Here is a 15,619-nt window from a genome sequence, read left to right on the forward strand (position 1 = left end):
AAAATGACATGCATGTTTAAGATAAAATAAGGGAGAGGACACCTGTTCTGACTGAGTCTGGCAACTCAGATCTCCCCGCAGCCAACATCTACATTCCTTTGGACAGCTGTCTGCTGTGTAGGGACACCTCCCTGGAACTTTGAAAAGCACCCCATCATTACCTTCCACTTTGTTCTGGAGCAAGGTTTCAAAAGAAGAGTGCCGTATTTTGATTAATTTAGTGAATTGGATTTTCAGACACAAGTAAGAGCATCCACTCAGTGGCCTCTGCAGTAAATAATGATATCAGATCACATAACAAGAAGACTGGAGGTTGGCGGGAAATCTGGACCTGGTGACTCAAAGAAGTCATGAAGGACCATCTCTCCATTCTGCCACCTTCTCGCCTGTGGATTTTCCTCCCCAGGCTTGTCACTTCATTGTCGAGAGATGCCCTCACAATCCAAGCCAGGCAGCCTCACATGACCAGATCTAAAACACAAAGAGGGAGCCAAACTGAGAAAGGACCTTTTCCCTCTGAACACTTCTCTCTTGGAAAAAGAAAATGTTTCCCAGAAAGCCTCATAGCCTTCCTCTTATATCTCCTTGACTAACTGGGACCCGGATCCCTGGATATCCTTTCCTGAGAAAGAGAGGGTCTGGGGCAGGGGATAGAGAAAATGACTAGCAACTAGCAGCACATGATGTTTAAACATAAGATTTAAAGAAATGCAAGGCACAAACAATTTGAAGACTTTTTTTAAGTTTTTAAAATCTTCACAAAATAAAAAGGAATTGGACAATGCACTTTAAAAACTAGAAGACGTTTCACTGAAAACAGCATCTCCTAATTCATTTCATGGCTTAGATAGTAATAGAAAATTATTTTATTCTAATTCCATACTTTATCAACTAATTTTAATTATTTTATAATTACCCAAAATATGTCATGTAGAATGAAAATAAAAGAAAATGAAAACAGTTATATCAAGGCCAAGTCAGTTGTATGTTTACTGGCTATTTAGAAATTTCTAAATACGTGTATATTTAGAAATGACTATATAGATACTATTTGGGTAATGTTAGGGATGGAAAGTTTATGTCCCCCCAAAATTTGTATGTTGAAATCCTAAGCCCAATGTGATGGTTTTAAGGGGCGGGGCCTTTGTGAGGTGATTAGGTCATGAGAGTGGAGACTTCATGGATGAGAATAGTAAGTATCCTTATAAAAGAGACTCCAGAGGCTGGGTGCAGTGTCTCATGCCTGTAATCCCAGCACTTTGGGAGGCCGAGGCAGGTGGATCGCCTGGGGTCAGGAGTTCGAGACCAGCCTGGCCAACATGGCAAAACCCTGTCTCTACTAAAAATACAAAAATTAGCCAGGTGTTGTGGTGGGCACCTGTAATCCCAGCTACTTAGGAGGCTGAGGCCTGAGAATTGCTTGAACCCAGGAGGTGGAGGTTGCAGTGAACTGAGATCGCGCCACTGCACTCCAGCCTGGGGGACGGAGTGAGACTGTCTCCAAAAAATAAAATACAATAAAAGAGACTCCAAAGAACTTTCTAGCCCTCTTGCCACCACCTAAGGATGCAAAGAGTTGACAGCAACCTGGAAGAGCCCTCACCAGAACTCGACCATTCTGGCACTCTGACTTCCAGCCTCCACTGTGAGAAATAAATTTCTATTGTTTATGAGCCACTCAGCATATGGTACTTTGTAGCCCTAGACAGGCTAAGACAGGTAATTAGCAATTTTAGGTGATTTTCATCATCAAAATTTTCATGATGGCATTTTGGAGAATTCACATAAACCACTCTGTTACCCTCCTAAAAGTATTGCTCAAATACTGAATTATATTTATGCTTGCCAAAGTTAATTTTTTTCCAACAAGTAACACTAGCCACTTCATTTTGTGCTTTTGATACAAAAGCATTTCCCAATCCAGCGGCTTTCATCTTCTGGCCTGGTTGGCAAAAGTGTAACTCACTTCTGCACCCTCTCTGAACCCTAGTCTCCTCCTCAAATGTAAAACAGTAATAAACCTTTCTTACCCAGGAAGCCATTATAAGGATTATAATCAACATAAGATATAATTCTTTAATTATCAAAGCAGTTGCTGGCATGTGGCAGGCATTCAACAGAAACCGTGTTGCTATGTTATTTTTATTGTTACCATTAATATTCCTATTGGGATTGAAACCCTTATGTCATATCAAAACTTTTCCATCTTTGACAAATGAGACATATTAGGATAGTATCTTAATAATATGTAAGAGTTTAGTGCTTGAGCTATTCAATTATTAAACTTTGCTTCCAAGACCACAGACTGGTGGTATATACTGTGTGCGTGTGTGTGTGTGTGTGTGTTTGTGTGTGTGTATGAGAAAGAATATGCTGTTCTTTTCTTCTTCTGGGTAGAAGTTGTTGAGCCTTCAAGGGAAGAGGTTTTCACCTACAGCAGACAGTGCCAGTTCTCTTGGTGTGAGGGATTCTGGGAGATGGCTGCCCATTTCCATATTCATGAATTTTATAAACATGGTCTCAGATAAATGCAAGTGTACACTTCGGTGAGCTCATTTGTTTTTGAGCAGAGGGGATAATACGGCCCTAAATAATGTGCTTCCCTGTCAGCCAGGAGAGTTACATTCTGGAGATGTGTGTGTCGGTGGGTGCGGGAGGCAGGTGGTGTTGAGGAGATAGGGAAGCCAACAGGACAAAGCTCAGAGGGAAAACAGCCCAATCTAAATCCAGTTCTTTCTCTGTGTGGATTCCCACTGACTTCCAAACCTCTCAGCTCCCTGACTCAGTGGTAAGGAAGAAAAAAGTACCAGGATTGAGGGGATGGTGTTCTAGCCCTCCAGCAGAGGAGTAAGATGTGTGAGCCCAGGGTGAAGCAAGTGCACAATTTTAGTAAAAGATTTTCATTGGCCATACTGAATGAATCATAAAGGGATGTGAAGAGGCTACCTCTGGCATCATTGTCATAAACACAGCTGGTGAGGGGGGAGGTGGTGTTCTCCTGGTGTCAAAAGACAAAATTATTTACAGATCAAATTGGCTTTTATTCATGATTCATGAATCCAGTAGCCTCCATTCTATAAAATAGAATTAGAGTTCCCACTGGGGAATGGCAGAACAGTGGTTTTGTAAGGTGGGAACAAGGAAACAGTATTATTTTAAAGGTTGATTGGTTAGTGTCAGCTTAATTCAGACTACTTTTCTCGTCATGGTTAAAGCAAATGGGACTTCCTTATTACTCTGACTCAGGCAGACTGAACTCTTTCTGATGGGTTGCTGTGACTCTTGTTTTCAAGAAAAACTGGTCTATTTGGGGACCACCAGCTTTCTTAAAGTTTCAGCTTGGTTAAATGGCACTTAGCATGAGTGACTCCACTTTAGTTTGGTCTGTTGGGACCTAGTGCAGGAGCTCACTCTAAAACAATGCCCTCCCGTAATTTTTCTATAGCACCTGAAACGGGGTAGAGCAGAGATTGAAGGAAACATTTGCTTGGGTCGTCATTTTCCTCAAGGACTGCGCTACCAATTGGAGTCAACACTTCTAGGTGCCTCCAGTTTGGTACAGTATGTAAGGGGTTGAATTGCATCCCCCAAACAGATATGTTGAAGCCCTAACCCCTGGCACCTGTGAATGTGGCCTTATTTGGAAAGAGGGTTGTTACAGCCATAATCCAGTTAAGATGAGGTCCTTCTGGATTAGGGTGGGCCCTCATCTGATTGATTGGTGTCCTTATAAAGAAAAGGAAAAGAGTCACAGAGGGAAGAAGGCCATGTGAAGATGGGGGCAGAGATTGGAGTGATGCTGTCACAAGCCAAGGAATGTCTGGGTTACCAACAGCTGGACTTTGTAGACAGCATGGCCCTGCCAACACCTCGATTTCAGTTTCTGCCTCCAGAACTGTGAGAGAACACGTTTATGTTATTTGAAGACACTGAGACTGCCGTCCATTGTTCCAGCAGCCACAGGAAACGAATGCCCTGCATTCTTACAGCACTGCGGCAGGGGTGGAGTGATTAAGAGCAGGGGCTATGGAGTCAGCTTTCCAGGGTTCAAGTCCTAGCTCCACTGCTCAGGAGCCACTACTGAGAATTGTTCAGAATCAACCCAGCTGAGGTCTGAAGATCATTTAGACCGGAGCCTCGCCCACGGTAAGCACTGCCCAGGTGCCAGGTGTTATTATGGCTGGGCTGGCCAGTTCTTCCTCTTAGGTTTCCTTGCTTAGAGTTTGGGAAGGAAAAAATAACCCACCTTGTTGGTGTTTTTTTCTACTGTTTTTAGGCTGCTTAACCTTGCTGTTTCATAAAGTAGCCAAATTCTCTTATTTTCACAGGACATTGGAATCTCAGATATACAAGGAAGCTGAAGAATTTTCTAATTTTCAGTCCAATCTCATGGACTGAAAAGTCAGTCTCATAGAAGACTGACTTTCCGATGTCCCAACTCTTGGTTTTTTCCTATCTCCATTTGAGCACCTACAATGGAGAATTCACTGCCCTGTAAGAAAACACCTTCCACTTGCTGATAGGCTGACTTCTAAGTTTTTCTTTGTATTGAAAATCTGTCTCTTTCACTTTGTCTTTGGAGCTAGAGAGGAGACTCTTCAAATTAAAGGGAGTGTAAAATGTGAAGACAGCTGCTGAGTCCTCTTTGAGTCTGTCCTGTGAGACACCCTTCCATTTAGAACTCTTCCTGTGTGACTTGGCTCCTCTCTCACAACACCTGGGGACACATCCATCTCATAAATCCTGGGGTCTAGATCTCACTTCCACATTGGAGCACTTTGGGATTCACAAGGTCTGCTGCAATACAGCCTGCTCTGTTATCTTCTTCCTCTTTCCTCTACCATCCACTGCACATCTGTGCTCTGGGGAACCATTCACAAGTTTCTCTAAATTGGTAGCTCCAGATGTATCCAGTTTATGCAAGCAACTTACACTCACAGTGCTTTCTTATTAATTTTTTTCTACTACTTATTACAAGTGTAAGTTATGGCAAGTAACCCAGAGGTATTAAGGAAATAGATTTTGATATCAAATGCAGTTGAAAAGGCAAAAAAAAATTATAGTGTTTGACGTTTGGATATTTACATAATTTAGAAAAGCAATGAAATGATCCCTAGATAAAAAAGCCGTTAGTCAATGTTCATATCTTTCCTCAAATGTAGACTTTCTGAATTGCATACCAGCAGAATCAGTTTCTAATTTGTCATGTCTGTTGGATTTCTGAATTAAGGGGTGCGGGTGTGGAGTCAGTGGATATTAGAACTGCCCTCCCTTGGGGTCTTCTCCTCTCTTGTTTCTCTTTGAACTGTGGCACACCCTCATGATGATCAAGGGGCCACCCAGTGACACCTGCTCCCCTTTTTGTCTTGGGCTTTCCTGCAGGCTCCTTGGTGATGGGCATGTGGTCAGCAACAATGAGATTCTCCAGGTTTAGGGAGTATTGCTGTTTGCTGGATTTTAGAGAGGAGACATGTGATTCCAGGACAAATCTTTCATATCAGCTGTTAGTTGTGTCTAGATCAATCTGGGACTTTCCCAACACTAAGCAGGAGGGGCCTGTTATCAGGAGATACCAGAGGTCAGTAAGGAAACATCTAATTCCAGTGCCAGCAGCACTTTGTGCACTCTTTTTGACACTAACTTGAATATGTATTTAAATAAAGATGCTCTGTATTGACCACAGATTAGTCTGAATAATCCAAAACTTTAAAAACTTCCCCACATTGGATGTGGGGTCTAGGGGCCCCCTAGGGATGGTCTAGGGTCCAAGACTTTACCTTGGTAGGCAAAGATAGGGCTTTACCCAGAAGAGAATAAATGTCTTCACTGCCAGTTACCTTCAGAAATGGTTAATCCTGGGTAGCAGATGGCATCTTTTGCAGCATAGTTTACTGGGCAAGAGCATGGATTCTAGAGCCAGGCTGACTGGGCTCCAATCCCAGCTTGGTCACTGATTATATGACCTTGGGATAAATCACTAAACCTTGCAATGCCTCAGTTTTCTCACTTGTAAAATGAGCATAATAATTGAGCCCGCATCGTAGAATTTTAAAATAAGTATTAAATTAATACTTTAAAACACGTGTAACAGTGCCTGGCATACAGCAAGTGCTATGGGTGTGTTCTTGTTAAATAAACTGGGAGGAAGTTATTCTTCCTGTTTCTAGGGCTGGGGGATTCAGATCTGAGAACCACTTTATGGAGGAACCTGGAGAAGTCAGGAGGTGGGGTGAACTGCTATGAGTTACCTAGAAATGAGCGAGAAATCAGACAAGCTTTTCTCTCTGTTGGGTCTGTGTCTAAGCTGATGTCTTAGACTCTCCATCAAAAGGATCCAGCCAGTTCGGAGGGAGGAAATCTTCAGTCACTTGCTGGCCTCCTGCCCTGCTTCTGTACAGCATCCCCGTTGGCCCCTGCCACCCAGTCTCCTCCCTCCCATCAGGTCTCAGCCATCTTTCTGAAGTATATTTGTGGATGAGGCTGGATGAGCCCACTAAAGCAGAGAGCTGGTATCAATGATGTTGGTGGCTCACACTGGAGCCCTTGCAGCAATCTTAACTCACGGGCTGAAAAATAATCTTGTAAAATTTAGACATCCCAGCCTCAACTCAACCTGAGTACTCCACACTCCACTGGTCCTATCAAGGGTGGCCCCTGGTGGGCCCCAAAAACACAGCCTCTGTCCCCACATCATGATGGAGAACAGGTCTTGTTTGCTGTTGAGTAGAGAACAAATGACCTGACTAAATTAGATGGGGAACTACTTGGCATCTGACATATTTCCAGATTTTTGAGTAACAGATCGTATCATTCACTTAGTTCACATAGATATCTGAGGTCTTTGAAATTCAAATATACTTGGTAATAACCCAAGGACCCTTTCTGACAGTGCCTTTGATAGTTCTGTAGTCTTCAAAGGACAATAACTAATCTTAGGATTAAAACACATGTTTCTAAAAGCAAAATGGTTCCCAATACAGATAGTGAACTTAAAGTGAGATTGAGTAAATACCATATCCTTGTTGGAATTAATGTTTACAGAAGTACTCTTCAGTTGCTTATCAATCATGATACTACAGGACAGATAGACTTGTCGGACCAGAAAATCAAGGCCCAGAAAGCCAGAGAATCCTTCCCATCACAGCAGAGACCTCGATCTCATTGCTCCAGGTTGACTCTTGGTTCTAATTTTATTTCCACAGAAGTTGAAGTCATCTTCAAGTAAAACCTGTGTATTGTTAATGTATCCAGAACAGTGCCTGACATATACTAGGCACTCAGTGAACATTTGCTGAATAAATGAATGCCGTTTAAAAACATCCAAGGATGCTGTATCTTTGTCTACTTTGGAGGGAATGTCTGTATCACAAGAATAAATTTGATACAACATAGAACAAGATGATCATCTGACACAATTAGTATTTCACTTGAATTGTTTATTAGGCATTTAGCCACATGACAAAAGACAATTTGAAGACCACAGATATAATTTCAAGTTGCGTGAACATTGATTGCCCTGGAAAATATATCAGTGAGGCTTTCCTACCACTTCTGATGACTGCAAGAACATGAAAATCTATAATGTTTTAATCAACAAAAATCACAGCTAATGAATAAAAGCTATGGCCATGAAGATTAACTTTTTAATTAGCAAATAATATTTCTTTGTTGATGAGATACTAAGCAGACAAAATCACAACCCTCTGGATAACTTTGGAGAAAGACATGGGAAGCCACAGACAGCTGAGTTCCATGAAGGCAGGATGATATTTATTTGCTTCTTATTCCAGTTTTCAGATATATCTCTCTTCAATTTTTGATTCCTACAGGGAAAAAAAATAGCATGAGCATATGGCTACATTAAAAAAAATAAAGAAGTCCCTCTCCCTCTCCCTCTCCCTCTCCCTTTCCCTCTCCCTCTCCCCCCTCTCCCTCTCCCCACGGTCTCCCTCTCCCTCTCTTTCCACGGTCTCCCACTGATGCCCAGCCGAAGCTGGACTGTACTGCTGCCATCTCGGCTCACTGCAGCCTCCCTGCCTGATTCTCCTGCCTCAGCCTGCCGAGTGCCTGCGATTGCAGGCGCGCACCACCACGCCTGACTGGTTTTCGTATTTTTTTGGTGGAGACGGGGTTTCGCTGTGTTGGCCGGGCTGGTCTCCAGCTCCAAACTGCGAGTGATCCGCCAGCCTCGGCCTCCCGAGGTGCCGGGATTGCAGACGGAGTCTGGTTCACTCAGTGCTCAATGGTGCCCAGGCTGGAGTGCAGTGGAGTGATCTCGGCTCGCTACAACCTCCACCTCCCAGCCGCCTGCCTTGGCCTCCCAAAGTGCCGAGATTACAGCCTCTGCCCGGCCGCCACCCCGGTTGGGAAGTGCGGAGCGTCTCTGCCTGGCCGCCCATCGTCTGGGACGTGAGGAGCCCCTCTGCCTGGCTACCCAGTCTGGAAAGTGAGGAGCGTCTCTGCCCGGCCGCCATCCTATCTAGGAAGTGAGGAGCGCCTCTTCCCGGCCGCCATCCCATCTAGGAAGTGAGGAGCGTCTCTGCCCGGCCGCCCATTGTCTGAGATGTGGGGAGCGCCTCTGCCCCGCCGCCCCGTCTGGGATGTGAGGAGCGCCTCTACCCGGCCGCGACCCCGTCTGGGAGGTGAGGAGCGTCTCTGCCCAGCTGCCCCGTCTGAGAAGTGAGGAGACCCTCCGCCTGGCAACCACCCCGTCTGGGAAGTGAGGAGCGTCTCTGCCCGGCAGCCACCCCATCCGGGAGGGAGGTGGGGGTCAGCCCCCGCCAGGCCAGCCGCCCCGTCCGGGAGGGAGGTGGGGGAATCAGCCCCCGGCCCGGCCAGCCGCCCCGTCCGGGAGGGAGGTGGGGGGGTCAGCCCCCCGCCCGGCCAGCCGCCCCATCCAGGAGGGAGGTGGGGGGGTCAGCCCCCTGCCCGGCCAGCCGCCCCATCTGGGAGGTGAGGGGCGCCTCTGCCCGGCTGCCCCTACTGGGAAGTGAGGATCCCCTCTGCCCGGCCAGCTGCCCCGTCCGGGAAGGAGGTGGGGGGGGTCAGCCCCCCGCCCGGCCAGCCGCCCCATCCGGGAGGTGAGGGGCACCTCTGCCCGGCCGCCCCTACTGGGAAGTGAGGAGCCCCTCTGCCTGGCCAGCCGCCCCGTCCGGGAAGGAGGTGGGGGGGTCAGCCCCTGGCCCGGCCAGCCGCCCCGTCCGGGAGGGAGGTGGGGGGTCAGCCCCTGGCCCAGCCTGCCGCCCCGTCCGGGAGGTGAGGGGCGCCTCTGCCCGGCCGCCCCTACTGGGAAGTGAGGAGCCCCTCTGCCCGGCCAGCCGCCCCGTCCAGGAAGGAGGTGGGAGGGTCAGCCCCCCGCCCGGCCAGCCGCCCCATCCGGGAGGAAGGTGGGGGGGTCAGCCCCCTGCCCGGCCAGCCGCCCCGTCCGGCCAGCCACCCGGTCCAGGAGGTGAGGGGCGCCTCTGCCCGGCCGCCCCTACTGGGAAGTGAGGAGCCCCTCTGCCCAGCCACCACCCCGTCTGGGAGGTGTACCCAACAGCTCATTGAGAACGGGCCATGATGACAATGGCGGTTTTGTGGAACAGAAAGGGGGGAAAGGCGGGGAAAGGATTGAGAAATCGGATGGTTGCCATGTCTGTGTAGAAAGAGGTAGACACAGGAGACTTTTCATTTTGTTCTGTACTAAGAAAAATTCTTCTGCCTCGTGATCCTGTTGATCAGTGACCCTACCCCCAACCCTGTGCTCTCTGAAACATGTGCTGTGTCCACTCAGGGTTAAATGGATTAAGGGTGGTGCAAGATGTGCTTTGTTAAACAGATGCTTGAAGGCAGCATGCTCGTTAAGAGTCATCACCACTCCCTAATCTCAAGTACCCAGGGACACAAACACTGCGGAAGGCCGCAGGGTCCTCTGCATAGGAAAACCAGAGACCTTTGTTCACTTGTTTATCTGCTGACCCTCCCTCCACTATTGTCCTATGACCCTGCCAAATCCCCCTCTGTGAGAAACACCCAAGAATGATCAATAAAAAAAAAAATAAATAAATAAATAAAAATTAAAAAAATAAAGAATAAGAATTGCATGTACTTCTTATTTGAATATAAAGAACGAACGTATAATTTCTCCAATGAAACAGAGACAATTGTGCAATGCCAAAGAGTTTGAACTTAAATAAAGGAATTTTTATTGCCAATCTGGCTTCTCTGATGAAAACTGTATTAGTGTCAACTAGAATCTCTGCCTAATTTTCTACCCTCTGTAAAATAAGAATAGTTCCTACTTTCTCTCAGAGCTATGACCACATGAATATGTGTAATAAACTCAAATAAGTACAAGTAAAATCAAGATATTAAGATTTTTATTGTTCTAATCTGTCCAAAACAACATACATGCATTAGGACTTACTATTGTATCACATATCTTTTTAAAAATTGAATTTCATTTTTACCTTTTGAATCTACAGCAAATATAATGACTCCAGAGGAACTGAGACTCCTATCGGAAACACACCTTTGCTGATAAATTTTCAGAGCTACACTCTCCACATATGTTCTTCTGGGCGTATGTCAATAAGATCCTGATATGATACATGCTTATGAGACAGATGCAAACGTGGGGTTGCAGAAATGCGAGTCGGGAGCGTTTGCCTGATAGGGATTTGTTTCATACAGAGCTTACAGCGGTACTTTCCCTCCCCTCACATAGTCTTATGCTGAGAGCAATGGAATAACTTCAACATATAAGCCTCTCCCCACTACCTTCCAGAGATGCTTGAGATACCACTTTGGAGTTGCTCTGGGTCAGCAGTTCTTCCTCAGACCCCAGGTCTTTCTCAGCTTATGAGTAGGGGAAGGCCCTGGTTGCACCAGGGAAAGGACCTGGTTCTCAGGGCACATTTTGACTCAGAAGGTAGCCCTTTGGCTTCAACTTTCAGGAGCCATGGACAGGTCTATCACATATACCAAACATGATTTTCAACTTCTGACTTGTTGAGCACTATACTTTTTCAGATATTCACAATTAAAATCAACAGCAAAGAAGATAAAAATTGTAGGCAATCAGGAAATGCATTACATGATCCACAGATTCTAAATCCCCCACGGGTTATAATGAACGAGCCATTGCAAAAAGGATAGGGAGAGAGAGAAAGAGAAGCAGACCCTAAGGAGGGATCACAGATTCTTCCACCAAATGGGACAAAAAGACAAAAAAAAAAAAAAAAAAAAAAGAAAATAAACAGAAAAAGGTAGACATACCCCAACAGGATGACATTCTTAAGATAACCTAATGAAGAGGCTTTCTAAGGTTGTCTAGGTTCCCACAAACATAATTTTAAATACCCTCCATGTTGCCAACACTGCATTTATTTAAAATGTGTGCTTTGTTTTTACAAATTAACTGCATGCTGTCTCCAGGGTTTAACTATGAGGGGTAAACCCCTCACAACTGCAAGAAGCCCGGTAGTCGAAACATATCCTTTCTTCAAACCATCAAGAATTTGGACGGCAAGTCGTGAGTCATAATAAATTCCCTTTTTATTGTTTTCATTAGTTCTCTAAAGGTCACCAGTTTCTTATATGAGCTTGTTATGATAGTAAGTTATCTCAACAAATGCTGTTTGAAGAAACCTGAAGTATTATAGAGATTGATGTAAGAATAAAAAGTAAAAATCTAAGTTTTAAAAGAATTATTACAATGTATCATTCCTTCTACTTCTCCAGAATTAACATGGTTTTCTCTTCTTCTTGTTTTTTTTTTTTTTTTTTTTTGGACTGAGTCCTGCATTATCGCCAGGCTGTAACGCAGTGGCGCGATCTCGGCTCACGGCAACCTCCGCCTCCCAGGTTCATGCGATTCTCCTGCCTCAGCCTCTGGAATAGCTGGGATTACAGGTGCATGCCACCACGCCCAGCTAATTTTTGTATTTTTAGTAGAGACAGGGTTTCACCACTTTGGCCAGGATGGTCTCAATCTCTTGACCTCATGATCTGCCCACCCTGGCCTCCCAAAGTGCTGGGATTACAGGCGTGAGCCACCGCACCCGGCCTTCTCTTCCTTATTTTAAGGTGAGGGAAATGCACTCTGGCAGCATTGAGTGGCCGGGCTGGGCCTGTAGCTGGGTCTGGACTCCAGGAGGACACTCTTGCCACGGGACAAGGAGACAGGCAGAAAATGAGCCCAGGGCAGCCTACCTGCAGCTGGCTTCACTCCTACTCCCTCTCTGCTCGCAGCACGTCGGCCGCCAGCTCTTTGATGTGTTCCCAGGCCCGCTGCACATGGGCAGATTCCACCGTGCGAGAACAGATGGCAAAGCGCAGGACAAACTTGTCCCTGAGGTGACATGGAACCAAGTGGATTTTTTTGGCACTGTTTATTCTTTGCAGAAGAGCTTCATTCACTTTGTTGGAACCCTGGAGGGATTGAAAGAGAGGAACTGTGCTCAGGTCTCTGAGGACTCAAAAATCAACTGGTCATGTAGGAAAGACAGTGCTTGGCAACCCTACCGTACATCAGGAAGAAGCCGACTAACCATCCCCCTTGCGTTTACGATGTTACAAAATTCAACAAAATAATAGTAATGCACCCTAAAAGACTGCATGCATCTTCTCCCCACAGACAATTTCTCTATATTCTGATGTGCCATCAAAAGATGACCCTTCCATGGTCTAAGTTTTTTTAAGGAAAATAAGGATCCCTGGATATGTAATCTACAAATATATGAGCTTAAACAGCAGAATTGGGGTTTCTGATGGCACCAGGGGAGGAGTCTCTAAATTCTCACGGAAACATAGAAGAGTCTCAGCAACCTAGAAAATGAAGCATAACGGTCAAGCTAGTGCTAGAATCTGAGAAGAATGTCCATGAACCACAGGACCGAGCAACCACTGGTGCCTCTCCAGACAAGCACGGCCCACCAGCCTGGGGTAGGCGCAGAGGCCCCACCCCTCCCACTACACTAGAGTTGGAAGCCTGGTATCAATAAGCCAATGGGAAGCCCTTGCTGTCCTGCCTGGGCCCTGCTTCCATAGCAGCCGGTCTTCTGACACTTCACCTCCATCTCCCTTTGCTCCTCTGTCCTTCTTCTGTTTGCAGGCAGTGACTCCATGTCTTCTAAGCCATGGAGTCTTAAATAGAAGGAACTGAATGTGGGACACTGCATCCTAGTCACCCAAACCTCACAGGACTGCACTTCGTGGCCCTGTCTTCAGAGTGGAGAAGCAGGGAGGATGAGTGGGAAGGAGAGAGTTCTATCCACTGCATGGAACCACCTCAGACGAGCACCTGCTGGATGTTGGCACCTGGCCATAGAGCTGTGCAAATCCCCTGGCCTCTAGCTATGGGCCTGAGTGCCCTGCTCCTGTTGTGCCCAGGTAGACAGTGATGGGCCAGAGGAAATTTGGAAACCGTGGGTGAACACCAAGGCTGGGTGAATCTGGATGAGGACTCAAGGATGAGGATAGAGAAAAAAAGAAATTATCATACCAAGGGAATGGAATTTTACCAAAAAGACTCAGTATGAGAGCAAACATCTGCAAAGTATAGAGCACAGAAAATGGAAGCAAATTATTTAGGAAAAATGTGCTTGCCATTTTCAAACAGACTGGATAGGGCAGTACTTCCATGAAGTAGAGGCAAGAAGCCTAGCAGAGGTGGGACAATTACAATGAACAAAGTAGGCTGAGTGCACACAGATGGAGACCAAGCAAGTTCTGGCCATAATGAGGATGGAGGGAGAGGGACCGTGATGCCATAGCAACATCACTTCTGCTTTAGTAAAGAGCCACATGACACACTGAAGCATTCAGCATGAGAGGACCTGAAATTCAGATTAGAGAGGATTAGACCAGGAGAGAGTGAGGCCAAGATGGCAGATATGGAGGCAGAAAAGTGAGCCACAGTGTTTGACTAACGCGCTTCCTCCAGAAACTGGATTTGCAGACTGGAGGCACAAGCAAAGTTTTACAAAAGGAAACATTTGTCAGCTGAAAAATGCCTTGGACTTCCTTCATGAGAGGACTCACTATATGGCATGAGAGAAGAATGGACAGAAACCAGTACACAGATGGGTTTGGTGGCATCTACAAATTATGCAAATAAAATAAAAGCCATAACCTTGACGACATTATGCTAAGTGAAGAAAACAGTCATAAAAGGCAATATGTTGTATGTTTTCATTTATACAAATGTCCAGAATAGACAAACCTACAGAGACAGAAAACAGATTAGTAGCCCTGAGGATGGGGAAAGTGGCATGACTGGGTGTGGGGTTTCTTTTAGGGGGATGAAAATGTTCTAGAATTAGATTGTGGTGATGGCTGCACAATTCTGTAGATATACTAAAAATACTCAAACGTAGCCTTTTTTTTTGAGACAGAGTCTTGCTCTGTCGCCCAGGCTGGAGCGCAGTAGCACAATCTCAGCTCACTGCAACCTCCGCCTCCCAGGTTCAATGTGGTTCTCCTGCCTCAGCCTCCCGAGTAGCTGGGATTACAAGCATGTGCCACCACTCCTGACTAATTTTTGTATTTGTAGTAGAGACGAGGTTTCACCATGTTGGTCAGGCTGTTCTCGAACTCCTGACCTCAAGTGATCTGGCCTCCTCGGCCTCCCAAAATGCTGGGATTACAGGCGTGAGCCACCACGCCCAGCCCAAATGTTAACTTTAAATGAACAAAGTGAATTATATCTCAATAGAACTGTTAAAAAAATAGAATATAAAAGTCCTAGAAGAAAACTGTCAACAAAAACAAGAATGAAAACAACTGCTTGACAGCAGATGAGTCTAATAAGCACGATGCCAACACTAAGGTTGGTTGACTGGACACATCCTGGACATGGATGGACTGAGGCTCCTCCCACAAACATCCAGAGCGTGTCTTGCCCTCTCGGTCCTCTGTGCACCTCCCAGGTCTCATCACTTTGTGCTCTTCCAAGGGCTCAAGTCTCCTCTCCTGCTCTGCTACCTGCAGGCTTTCCCACGGCTGCAGCTCCTCCTCGCCTCAGAGCTCCAAGAGTCAGGTGAGGCAAAAGGACATAGTAGGTGGAGTGGCAGTGCCACACTCTGACTGGCAGCCCCTTGACAATGACACTGACCCCAGCCTGCTCCTTCTCCTGAGTGCTGTCTTTAATTTGAACAAGGAAGCCTCCTGGAAAGGCTTGAAATGATTGTGAATTAAAAGCTACCTCAGCCGGGCGCAGTGGCTCACGCCTGTAATCCCAGCACTTTGAGAGGCTGAGGCGGGTGGATCACGAGGTCAGAAGTTCGAGACCAGCCTGACCAACATGGTGAAACCCCATCTCTAAAAATACAAAAATTAGCTGGGCGTGGTGGCGCACACCTGTAATCCCAGCTACTCAAAAGGCTGAAGCAGGAGAATCACTTGAACCCGGGAGGCAGAGGTTGCAGTGAGCCGAGATTACACCACTGCACTCCAGCCTGGGCAACAGAGTGGGAGACTCTGTCTCCAAAAAGAAAAAAAAAAAAAAAAAAAAAAAACCTTATAAACCAAACAGAGCATTTGGTCTCACCTGGCTCTGTGTACACAAGGGAGATTACCAAGGGGCATGTGTGCAGTGCATCTTAGAGCCTTTTTGAGAACTGTATCATGATTCTCAGTA

At 46.2% G+C, this 15,619-nt stretch overlaps 1 protein-coding gene across 9 annotated transcripts in view; it reads right to left on the bottom strand.

Moving 5' to 3' along the window:
- Positions 7,422–15,619, bottom strand: part of DDC (dopa decarboxylase) — a 106,964-nt gene continuing 98,766 nt past the window's right edge. For 8 of the 9 annotated variants that reach the window (XM_005271745.5, NM_001082971.2, XM_047419932.1 and 5 more), the window contains 2 exons: positions 12,193–12,411; positions 7,422–7,823 (listed from right to left, as the gene is read on the bottom strand). In XM_005271745.5, coding sequence (XP_005271802.1) covers positions 12,211–12,411 — 201 coding nt within the window. In that variant the 3' untranslated portion in view covers positions 7,422–7,823; positions 12,193–12,210. Of the gene's footprint in view, positions 7,824–12,191; positions 12,412–15,619 lie in introns of those variants that run through there. The other variant, XM_047419931.1, reaches the window with a different exon arrangement.

The sequence above is a fragment of the Homo sapiens genome, chromosome 7, assembly GCF_000001405.40.
Source record: "Homo sapiens chromosome 7, GRCh38.p14 Primary Assembly".
Lineage (NCBI taxonomy): Eukaryota > Metazoa > Chordata > Mammalia > Primates > Hominidae > Homo > Homo sapiens.